Source organism: Homo sapiens, chromosome 17 (assembly GCF_000001405.40).
Source record: "Homo sapiens chromosome 17, GRCh38.p14 Primary Assembly".
NCBI lineage: Eukaryota > Metazoa > Chordata > Mammalia > Primates > Hominidae > Homo > Homo sapiens.
This window is the reverse complement of record NC_000017.11, coordinates 41485428-41497363: the sequence shown is the minus strand read 5'-3', so window position 1 is coordinate 41497363 and position 11936 is coordinate 41485428. Positions and strand designations below refer to the sequence as shown.

Here is an 11936-nt window from a genome sequence, read left to right as displayed (position 1 = left end):
AATTGGCACAGCTGTGCCCATTTTACACATGGAAAGACTGAGGTCTGGACGGGGTCAAAGACCTGCCCAGCGGGAGAGCTGGGACCTGTGGTTCCAATGTGCTTTCCAAGACTGGGGCTGGTCCTTTGCCAAGGGTCAAGCATTCGGCTCCAGGAATCTGGGGGAGAAGTGAGGCTCTCTCCCAGACCCCAAAGCCTAGGGGATGAAGGAATCAAGCCTGTGATGTTCCTGGGGTGTCTTGGCACCTCAGAGCCAGGTCGGGTTCTGGAGGGAGGAGGGCAGCGGGTGGCACACAGAGGTGGAGAGACGTGGCGCTGTTCTGTGACTCCTGGTGCTTCAGCCACTTCCTCCTCACCCCAAGCAATAGGCACCTCCCTCTCTTCCTGGCTCCACCCTGGGGAATGAGCCAGGCTGCTGCCCTCCTCAATGCGATGGCTGTCCTGCCCAGGCCCTGCAGGGGGCAGGCTCACCCCAGAAAGCAGATCAGTGCCTCAATGGCCACCTGCTGGGATACAGGGTGGAGTGGCTGGGCCCTAGACCCAGTCCTGGCCGGGCCTGGTCTCAACATAGGGCCCCGTCCGGTCCCCAGCTGGGCCCTTAACAAGCAGGGTGTGGCTGCAGGCACATTCCAGGCCTGAGACCCCCTTGGCGCCTGTTCCCCTCTGTGTTGGGTGATAGTTTTGAGGATCCACAGAAGACCCTTGACAGGCAGGGTGTGGCTGCAGGCACATTCCAGGCCTGAGACCCCCTTGGCGCCTGCTCCCCCTCTGTGTTGGGTGATAGCTTTGAGGATCCATAGAAGATCCTGAGTATGAGATGGGGTGTCTGGGCCTTCCTGGCAGGGGACTCTCACTGTCCCAGCCAAGGGAAGCTCTGGGGAAGATTAGGAAGCAAAGTCACAGCAGGAGGTGCAGGGCGATGGGTGTGATGGACTCTTCCAGATTTTTTTTCTTTTTTTTTTTGAGAAAGAGTCTTGCTCTGTCACCCAGGCTGGAGTGCAGGGGCATGATCTCTGCTCACTGCAACCTCTGCCTCCTGGGTTCAAGCAATTCTTCTGCCTCAGCCTCCCAAGTAGCTGGAATTACAGACATGCACAACCACACTCAGCTAATTTTTGTATTTTTAGTAGAGACAGGGTTTCACCATGTTGGCCAGGTTGGTCTCTAACTCCTGACCTCAGGTGATCCACCTGCCTCCGCCTCTCAGAGTGCTGGGATTACAGATGTGAGCCACTGCGCCTGGCCACTTCCAGCTTTTCTTATCCAGCTGTGGGGGCCCTTCCTTCCTCCCTGCCTGGGTCAGGGCATCTGAGGGGCGGCCCAGGGAACTGGCCTCTTTTGGATGGTGTCCCTGGGACTGTTGGTGGCTGGAGCAGAGCAGAATATGTGGGTTGTGTCCCTTTGAGCAGCTCCTCTGGGGGCTTCAAAAGAGCTGGGCACTCTTTACACCCTCCATCCTCCTGCAGAGTTTGAAAGAAAATAAGCAGGTGGCGGGTGCTGCTGAGACTTGCACAGGCACCTGTTGGGGGTGGGTATTTGGGGGACTTGGCCAAGAGCTGGTATCCCTTTTTATGAACAGTCATAATGACTGTGGCTTCTTTCATCCAAGGATCTCAGACCAGTTTGAAAGTAAAATCCACAGTGTCAGGCATGGTTAATTACAGCCCGGAGCCCGCAGTCTGGTTTGCAGACACGCTGTTGTTCGTAGGAAGAGAGTCAAATCAATTGCATGCCGGCCCCTGTAAATGCAGACTACAAGTCCAATCAAACAGGGTGTTTGGAAAATTCGCTTTATGGTTCAGCTAAGTGATACTTGAATCAAGGGGACGCTAGACACTGAGGTACCAGCTCTTTTCTCCCAGTGGGCCTGGCTGTGCATCTCCCACAATCACAGCTTCTTCAAGCACACCAAGGAGAGAAAGGACGCTCTGAAATGCTCCAACCATAAAAGTGGGGTGGGGGAGTTAGGGACTCGGTGAGTCTGAGCAGGAGACTGTGGACTCTTCCAGATGGGAGCTGGCAGCCAGTGCAGCTGTGCAGGGAGCGCTGGCCCCAGGGGAGAAGGTGGTGGGCCCTGAGATGTGGAAGGCCGAGCTTGGCCACAAGAGGACCAGAGAGGTATGGCTTAAGGCTGGAGTTAGGGTGGCTCTCTGGGCATCTGCCACGGCAAAAGCAGCTTGGAGCAGAACCTTGAAGTCCTGGGCAAGTGCAAAAACCACACCCCAGGGGGAGAGAAAATACTTTTGTATTTTGGGGGAGATGAGATTTCTAGAGTAACTCCGGGCCTGGTCAAGTGGGACTTTGAAGGCCCGATGAAGGTCAAGGCCTGATGGGGGCTCAGGAACAGGCCAGGAACAGCAGGTTGGGAAGCTGGACCTATGCTCCTTGTAGGGCCCCAGAGTCTCAGGAGGAGTCACTGCTCAGGACCAGGACCAACACTGTGGAGGGGCAGCCAGGCAGTGGGGGGGACCTCCTTCACCACTGAGTCATGTTCAGATTGTCTTGAACCTGGTGAGGCCGGGTGATAGCAGGGGGCAGGTGGACATTTGGGGCACAAGCTGGGGGGTGGGAAATGGAGCAGAGAGAGACTTGCTAAATCTTGTCCAGGAAGGTCTGAGTCACCCTGTTGAAGGCAGCTGCCATCAGGATGGAATGTCACTGAGGTGGCCAGGATGGGAGGCAGGATAATTCAGCTTCTGCATCTCCAAGTACTGTTTGGACTTGGGAGGGCAAGAATGACAGCCACTGACAGCAGGGTGTGAGAGGACAGGAAGGCACGATTCTCCAAGGGAAGCCCTCTGTGTCTGACCCTGAGAACAGCCAGCCATGGTGACAGGCCATCAGGGAAGGAGGGAAGAAAGAGCTGCATTTGTGTGGCCAAGGCTCTCAACCAGTGATGTTTCCTTACTGAGGGTTTCAGACACAGGACACTCAGATCAGAATTGCAGGTAAACAAACAACAACAACAACAACAACACAGACACACACACACACCCTATAAGTATGCTCCTAATACCACATTTAAAAAATTTGCTAAATCTGGCAACCCTTTCTTTATCAGGTCTGTGAATGGCCCTGAGTTTTCCACCATCAAAACTGAATAAACAGCCAGGCACGGTGGCTCACGCCTGTAATCCCAGCACTTTGGGAGGCCGAGGCGGGTGGATCACAAGCTCAGGAGTTTGAGACCAGCCTGGCCAACAAGGTGAAACCCCTCTCTAATACAAAAAATTAGACAGGCGTAGTGGCGGGCACCTGTACTCCCAGCTACTCGGGAGGCTGAGAGGCAGGAGAATGGTGTGAACCCAGAAGGCGGAGCTTGCAGTGAGCCGAGATCTTGCCAGTGCACTCCAGCCTGGGTGACAGAGCAAGACTCTGTCTCAAAAAACAAAAACAAAAACAAAAACAAAAACAAAACTGAATAAACGAGACTTTTCCTGGAGTTTTTGGAAAAATTACATTGGTGGCTAGAAAGGGCTTAATTGTAGGGTTTCCCCTTTCTGTGAGGCTTTCTTCAACTTTGTGTACCTGTTGTTGCATGTCGGCACTAGAATCTAATGTAAGTTGACAGTGGATTTGGCATGAGCTGTTGATGGGGTTATTTGACACAGAATATATAGAACCCTGCTTTTCAGGGGAGGGGCCAGGGCTCCCAGGTGCTTTGTCACTTGAACACATTCTTCGTTCCAAGGAAAATTTAGTCATGTGGAGGAAATGAGAATGAGTTGTGGGTCTCCCAGGGTCCTGGGTGACCGTTGGGTGCTGGGTGGATCTGAAGAGGTTAAAACATGGAATGAACATTTCTTAGGTGCTTCTTCTGGTGGGAAATTCTCTAGGATCTGGGTGTATGGACCTCAAGGGTGGAAGAGGCAGTAGGAGAAAACCAGAAAGATGGAGCTGAAACCAGCAGGCTGCTCTAACAGAGACAACCATTGGCCTTCTGCAGAGATCTTATTCTTGTCTGTGCCCATTTCTGGTTGGCCTGGCCATCCCAGAGGCTGCTGTCTGGTTTGTTTGCTTCACTATCTTTGGGGCCTTTGGGTAGTGGTGACCAGCATGTTCTGACCAAAGCCCAGAGAAGCATAAAAAGAGACACCCTGCTTGAAGAACTCACTCCCTCCTTGGGCACACTGTGACAGCAATGCCTTGTGCATGGAAGGGACTGTTCAGAGCTGGGCAGAAGGAGACTTGGGCTTGATATTTCAGGCCTTTGCCCATGGAGAACCTTGGTTTTCAGATGGAAGTTCATTTGAGTGTGCAGACTTCTTTCTGCCAAAGAAGGGGCCAGAAACTCAGGAGTTGATGTTGAACTTGGCAGCCTTCCAAGATGGGCGTGGGGAAAGGCCAGGATGCTTTCTGTTCCTATGGCGGCATTCCCCTTCTTCCTCCTGCCCCCAAGCTGGGATCATGGCGGATAGGTCATCCTGTCAGCACTGCAGCCTGCAGGTGGTGTGAGGGCTTTTGGAAGCTTCTAGAGTAAGGGTCAGAGGCCAGATGGAGACTTCTAGCTGAGGGGACTGTTGCAGCTCTGGACACAATCCTAGACCATGCCTCTTCGAGTAGCTGTCTTTTCTTTGACAGCTGGGTTAGGCCTCTGAATTAGTATTCCATTAAACCAGGGCAAGTGGTTTGTGCCCTGGAAACAGCATTGGACTGGGGTTCTGACTATATGGGTACTAATAGCAGTTTCAGTCTCTTAAATCTGTGAAACGACTTCCTGTTTATCCAGCCCCTTTGGATGTAGTTCTCACAATCCCGTGATTGTGGTGTTATGACCTCCACAGACCTATTGTGAAAGCTGAGGCTCAGAGGGATGGAGCAGCTTGAACTTAGTTCTCGCTGAGTCCCGGCTCAGGGCCCTTCCCTTGGGTCGGGGGGTTGGCTGTGCAGTCAACAATAAGGAAAAAGGCAAGACACTGAGGGCAGCTGAAAGACTTTTACCTTTGACGAGCTGGTCACCTGCTCCAGGGAAGGTACATTCCTCTCCCCACAACCCTAGAGGCACCTCTCTGGTCCACAGTGTCCCTCCTGATGCTCAGGTGAGAATGATGGGGACATCTAGATATTCGGATTAGCAGACTCCTTGCTTATTCAGTTGTCCTGAGAGAAACCTAGAATCAGCTTCAGATATGGATCATACAGTACAGGGGTTAAAACAAAAAAGAAAATGAGAATATTAACTTCAGATGCCTACCAGCCAGAGATCCCGAACAGAGAAGAGCTCTGCAAAGGGCTTGGTGAGGGCTGCCCTATGGCCCATTTTGCAGGACAAGCACGCTGTGTCATGAACAAGGGAAACCGAGGCATGGGTGTATTGAGGACTTGCCTGAGTGGGCCCAACAGAGACAGCCAGACTCCACGCTAGTTGTCCCAGAAAATAAAGTCAGGGGTGCTTAGGGGAGGTTGGGTCGGAGCCCCAGTCTTGGTCCTGATAGTCCAATGGTTCTCAACTGGGGGTGGTTTTGCCCCCTGACTCCTAACCCGGGGAACATTTGGCAATGTCTGTAGACAGTTTTGGTTGTCAACACTGGGGCAGGGGGTGGCTACTGGCATCTGGTGGTAGAGTCCAGGGATACTGCCACACATTTTACAAAGCACAGGAGAGCCCTAAACAACAAAGAATGACCTGGCACGAAGGGCTGAGGTTGGGAAACCCCATGACAATCCAATCCTAGGCCCTGCCAGGAGAACTGGGGAGATTGGGTGGCTGTGAGGAAGCCATTGCTGGGGCAGCTGGTGCTCTGGAGGGCTGATGCTGTGCTCTTGCTCCCAGAGGGGCTGCACGGGGTCCACTGCCAGCTGCTCCTGGACATCTTGTCAAGGTGTCCACCTTGCTGGGAGAGGCATGTTCACCACAGCCAATCCTCCCTGGATAATTTCAGAGAGAAGCTTATAAAACATTTTAAGAGGTTGGCAAATTACAACCTTAGAAGCACATAAATGCTTCCATAAACGCCAGCTTTGCAAACCAAGCGTGTGTGGGGGCAGAGTGAGCAGGTTTCCCAAGCCTTGGGAAAGTCCATGTTTCAAGGCGGAAGACCCAGGTTTATCTTTGGTCCCCAATTCTCAGGTTCTTCTCTCTCGGCTTGCTTAACTATCTGGCAGTATTTAGCTTTTTTCTTTGTATTCCTCCTCTGTCCAAAGAGTCTGCCATTGGCCATTTCTGTGACCTGTTAAGGGACCAGGAGGGTCAGAGCAGGTTGTTCTAGGGTCCTGATTCTACCCATGAGGTTCAAAAAGCTGACGGCCACAAAGGAAACTGCCCTCCAGCTCTGCCCAGTGATCCAAGCATGCAGATTCCATAATAGCAGGAGTCTGTGATGATGTGTTCATTGACTGAGGGACTGGCTATGGGGCATCTCCTTCTCCCACTGCCACCCTGCTGTGCCCAGTGGGCAGACAGACCATTCTCAGCAGTGCCATGTGAATGCTCACACTCACGAACCTTTGCTGGTCACAGCCATAAACCATCATCAAAGACTGTCAACCTAACCTAACCTAACCTAACCTAACCTAACCTAACCTAACCTAACCTAACCAACCAACACTTCTGCAGGACCCAGTGGCTTGCAAAACACTTTCACTTCTTGTTCGATCCTCCTTATATCTGTGTGAAGCAGGCGGGACAGAAGGACAATCTCTACTGTTCCAGTGAAAACACTGAGGTTCCCAGGGAGGAAATGATGTGCTCAGTATCACAGGGCAAATTAGTAGCAGAGCCAGGATTTGAACTATGTCTCCTGTCCCTAAATTCTGGGTACCCAGACTTGACTCCAGTTGTGTGGGGAAGCAGTGGGGCAAGGAAGTAGGATTTGGTGTCTGAGAGCCCTAGTTTCAGACCCAAGCTCTGCCAGTCACTTCCTGTTCACACTGAGCAAGCTATTAAACCATTCGGAGCCCCAGTTTCCACACTGGTAAAAATGAAGATAAAATCAGCCACCTCCTAGGGTTGTTACGAGGTGTAAATGAAATAACAATGAGCCTGGTACATCACAGGTGCTCCCTGAATTTTAGTTCCTTTGCTCCCTTTTACCATCCCAGTAGCCCAGGCAGGGGTGAGCAGCTATGAGGCGTGGCAGCAGTGGATGGAAGTGACAAGGGACAGATGAGGATCCCCAGGGGAAGGGAGGTGGAGAAAGCAGGAACCAAATGTCATTCGTGCAGCCACTCCCGATTTATGGGATCTGGTGCAGAGACTCTTTGAAGAGGCAATAAAACTCATATTCTGCTAGGAAATGACAACAGTGGAGAGTCCTGACTTAGCAAACCAAATTCAACGATTTGATTTTTTTTTTTTTTTTACAAGGCATGGGGTTCCGGATGGGTAGCAAAAATCACATTCTAATATTAGCTATCTGGGGTAGGAACAGGCTTTCCCAAGAGCAAGAGATGTGTACCATGCCAACACCCAATGGTGAGTGTACATAAATGCTCCATAGAGGCCTTGAGAGTCCAGAACCTGAGCTCCTTGCTAAGCTGCAACCTTCCTCTGCTAGCACCATGGCCACCCAGACCTGCACCCCTACCTTCTCCACTGGGTCTATCAAGGGCCTCTGTGGCACAGCAGGCGGCATCTCTCGGGTGTCCTCCATCCGTTCTGTGGGCTCCTGCAGGGTCCCCAGTCTCGCCGGTGCTGCAGGGTACATCTCTTCTGCTAGGTCGGGCCTCTCTGGCCTTGGGAGCTGCTTGCCTGGCTCCTACCTGTCTTCTGAGTGCCACACCTCTGGCTTTGTGGGGAGCGGGGGCTGGTTCTGCGAGGGCTCCTTCAACGGCAGCGAGAAGGAGACTATGCAGTTCCTGAACGACCGCCTGGCCAACTACCTGGAGAAGGTGCGTCAGCTGGAGCGGGAGAACGCGGAGCTGGAGAGCCGCATCCAGGAGTGGTACGAGTTTCAGATCCCATACATCTGCCCAGACTACCAGTCCTACTTCAAGACCATCGAAGATTTCCAGCAGAAGGTGAGGGAGACCTGGCCCCTTTCCAGCTGAGCAGCCCAACTCTTAGGAGGCGTCTGTCTCATTCCAGGGCCTTTCCAGATGGGACGGTAGCTTTTAGGGAATTCTCCTGGTAGGGCAAACTTTTCTCTCTAGGGCTTTGGTTTCCTGGGGGACCCAGGCTTCTCTGCTGGTCTCTTGCTTGTACCTTGTTGCCAGCCGTTCCTCACCCCCCTCCCCTTGCTGTAGGAAGGGAAGGAACATGTACCAAGCCCCTACCGGATACAGCACTGTGCCTGACACTTTCCTATTCCCTGGCTTATTTATTCTTCATCTTGGAGAGATTGGTATTACTGGACCCATCTGACAGATGTGGAAGTTGAATTTTGAGGGGTTCAGCAACTTGCTCAAGAGCACACAGGCTCAGTGTTAGATGCAGAACCTGAACTCAGGTCTGCCTCACCCTGGTGTATCTTGCTGTGCCACTCTGAAGGCTACAGGCGCCAGGACTGATGGTCACTGACATCCTCGGGATGCCCCTGTGGGGTGGATGCTCCCCCCACACCTGGGGTGTGGCTCAGGGCTGGAAATGGTGAAGGGGCTGGTGGTACACAGTGGCATGGCCTCTGTGAGCTGAGCTATCCCCCTACCTGCCCCCACACTGCTGGGCCTCCTGTAGCTTATGGGAAGCCTCTTGTTCCCCAGATCCTGCTGACTAAGTCTGAGAATGCCAGGCTGGTCCTGCAGATTGATAATGCCAAGCTGGCTGCTGACGACTTCCGGACCAAGTGAGTGGGCCTGATCAGGGAAGGTTTGCCATGCCACTCCCTTGCCTCTGTCCCCTGCCTTTGGGAGCTGGTGATGTGGGAATAAGGCTGGATGGGAAAATGTGGCATGAGCCCTGGACCTCAGGGGAAAGGAGTGTCATGCTCCTGATCCCGTCAGCCACTGCAGCTGGACAGTAGGGCAGGGGTCCCTGCTGGTGTGTGGTTTCCTTTGCTGCAGACTTGGCAGGGTTCTGTGTGTGCAGGTATGAGACAGAGCTGTCTCTGCGGCAGCTAGTGGAGGCCGACATCAACGGCCTGCGTAGGATCCTGGATGAGCTGACCCTGTGCAAGGCTGACCTGGAGGCTCAGGTGGAGTCCCTGAAGGAGGAGCTGATGTGCCTCAAGAAGAATCACGAGGAGGTGAGGCTGGTGCCATGTGACTTCCCAGTGTTTCCCATCCAGCTTAGGAAGCCACTGCTGGGCTTTCAGTTTTCTGTGCGGCAGGAACTATACAAAGGCCTTGCATTTCATTCTCGTTTCATTTCATCCTTACAATAATCCCAAGAATTATAAACTGTTACAAGCTCCATTTTACAGATGAGAAAACTTAGGCACAAAGAGGTTAAGTTGCTTGCCTAAGGTCATAGAGGGTCTACACTTTTGCCCATAACACTACATGTCTATTTGGGCTCTAGTGCCTGATAACAGCAATTTAATTTGCCTAGGGTTTGTATCATCTCACAAATATCCCATAGAAGGAGGTAGGTATATACGGAGAAGGAGACCAAGGCTCAGAGATATTTAAGTATCCTGTCTAATGCTATGCAGCTGGTGACTGAGGGAAGAGGGTTTGAATTCAGGTCATTGAAACCTGCAATCCAGCATCTTTTTCACAACCTCATGCCGTCTTGCCTCCTCTCTGCAGGAAGTCAGTGTACTCCGTTGCCAACTTGGGGACCGACTGAATGTGGAGGTGGACGCTGCTCCCCCAGTGGATCTCAACAAGATCCTGGAGGATATGAGATGCCAGTACGAGGCCCTGGTGGAGAATAACCGCAGAGATGTGGAGGCCTGGTTCAACACCCAGGTGGGGCTGGGGTGCCCTGGGACCACAGGCTCCTGGGCTGGGGTTACCCTTGGAAGTAGCTTGGTTTGACCATGCTCTGGGCCCTGGCATGTGTTTCAGACTGAGGAGCTGAACCAGCAGGTGGTGTCCAGCTCGGAGCAGCTGCAGTGCTGCCAGACGGAGATCATCGAGCTGAGACGTACGGTCAACGCGCTAGAGATTGAGCTGCAGGCTCAGCACAGCATGGTGAGTGGCCCCTGCCTGCGTCGCTGGCCACGGCCTGTGGCAGGTCCCCGACGCACCAGCCTCAGCGTGCAGGCTCTCATGGGGTGTGATCACAGGCCGTAGGCAGATGCCCAGGGCTGTGGGTTTCTGGGGTCAGGGGATTCCTCCCCAATAGGCAGCTCTTCCTCTTTCCCATTGCAGCGGAATTCCTTGGAATCCACCCTGGCCGAAACCGAGGCCCGCTACAGCTCCCAGCTGGCCCAGATGCAGTGCCTGATCAGCAACGTGGAGGCCCAGCTGTCTGAGATCCGCTGCGACCTGGAGCGGCAGAACCAGGAGTACCAGGTGTTACTGGACGTCAAGGCCCGGCTGGAGGGCGAGATCGCTACCTACCGCCACCTGCTGGAGGGAGAGGACTGCAAGTGAGTGGCCCTTGGGCTGGGGTAGGGCTTGACTGAACCCTCAGTGCCATGTGGAGGGCGTCAAGCCCAGAAGTGGTTGTCGCCCAGATGAAGGGAACTAAACCAAAGCCCCTTGAGATTCTCCATTTAGTCCCAGGCTTTGGTAATGCACAGCGGGAGAATCCAACCCAACACACGCCGCGTGTTTTCCGCCATCTTTTCTGATTGGCAGTTTCTGCTCTTCATTCCTGTAGCTCAGTCCTCTCACCCTTGGGGAATTCAGAGGCACTGAGATGATCCGGGGCCACCGGTCTCGCTTGATCCTCTAGATCTGTTTAACACGAATCTCAGCCCAGTGCTCCGATGCCAAATGCACCCTGCATGATTTTGTTTCCTCAGGCTTCCTCCCCAACCTTGTGCCACGGCATGCAAGCCTGTTATTAGAGTTCCTTCTGTCCCCCCGGTGCCCTGTGTCCCCTCTGTGCCCTGCACCCCGGCTCCCCAGGTTGGCACTCAGATCCGCACCATCACCGAGGAGATCAGAGATGGGAAAGTCATCTCCTCCAGGGAGCACGTGCAGTCCCGCCCGCTGTGACAGCCCACTTGGTCCACCAGGGCAGGGCCCTGACCACAGGAAGGAGGACACCCCTGTGGCTCCTGGAGGCTTAACGACCCTGCCCTTCTCTAGAGGGGTCCCCCTACGCTTAGCAGGTTTTTCTACCAAAACACTCCCCGTATTGTGTTTCCGGACTTAACTGTGCTTTTACGCCATGCAAAACCAGGTTTCCTGGAAATTTACCCAATAAAGTGTGTTCTCCTGGCATAGCAAACTCAACCCTGGCTGACTCTGTTGATGCTCATGTGCTCGTGTGGTTCATGGGGGTGTCTGATCAGGGGCTGCAGTATAGTTGTGGGGTTTCCATTTAGGTCTATCTTCTCGGGCTCTGAGTGGGAGGCGGTGGCAGGGTGATTTGAAGTATTTAATAACAAAGATGCCTCAGAGGCTGGCCAATGAGAACAGACACTGACCCAGTCTGGATGGGTGCGGCCATAGCTCTCAGCTTGGCCCTGCCTGTGAGTAGACACCTTAGGGCGGCCCCAGAAGAGGCAAAGGCTCCAGAGCCAGTCTTCATCCATAGCCCGACCTGGATTCGGTGGCTATCTCTCTTTTTCTTTCAGCTTCTCCTCTCTTGCCCAGCTGCTGTCACCCTGCTGCCTGATACTGGGGATGGTTAAGGAGAGGGGGTCCCAGGAACAAGCAGAGAGGGCCAAACACTAGGCAGCCATCCTCAGCCAGCCATGCCAGGGAGGGCAGTCAGGGAGAGCAGGGAGGTGAAGGTGGAGGGCAGGTGAATCCATGTCCCAACAAGGCACATAGGGCCAAACTGAAGGGTGCCAGGGACAGTGGGGTGGGGGTGGGTGCTCAGACATGGAGTCTGGGGAGAGGACAGCCAGGCTTCACTGTGGAGCAGAGTTCAGAGCCCTGGATTCCACTGGCTGAGTTAGGCAGGTCTGCAGGTGGGGCCTAACTCTGCCAGCTCTG

The 11936-nt window shown here is 53.5% G+C and overlaps 1 protein-coding gene across 1 annotated transcript, besides 1 other annotated feature; it reads left to right on the top strand.

Moving 5' to 3' along the window:
• Nucleotides 7454-11228, top strand: KRT36 (keratin 36). The gene is made up of 7 exons (NM_003771.5): nucleotides 7454-7958; nucleotides 8640-8722; nucleotides 8965-9121; nucleotides 9627-9788; nucleotides 9888-10013; nucleotides 10194-10414; nucleotides 10793-11228. The coding sequence occupies exons 1-7, from the start codon at nucleotides 7500-7502 to the stop codon at nucleotides 10986-10988; spliced, it is 1404 nt and encodes a 467-aa protein (NP_003762.1). The 5' UTR covers nucleotides 7454-7499; the 3' UTR covers nucleotides 10989-11228.
• Nucleotides 10513-11466: an enhancer, noted in NCBI's record as "H3K4me1 hESC enhancer chr17:39642150-39643103 (GRCh37/hg19 assembly coordinates)". NCBI's record gives its function as "activates a minimal SCP1, AML or CMV promoter by ChIP-STARR-seq in primed H9 embryonic stem cells {active_cell/tissue: H9 hESC(primed)}" and the evidence as "EXISTENCE:reporter gene assay evidence [ECO:0000049][PMID:30033119]".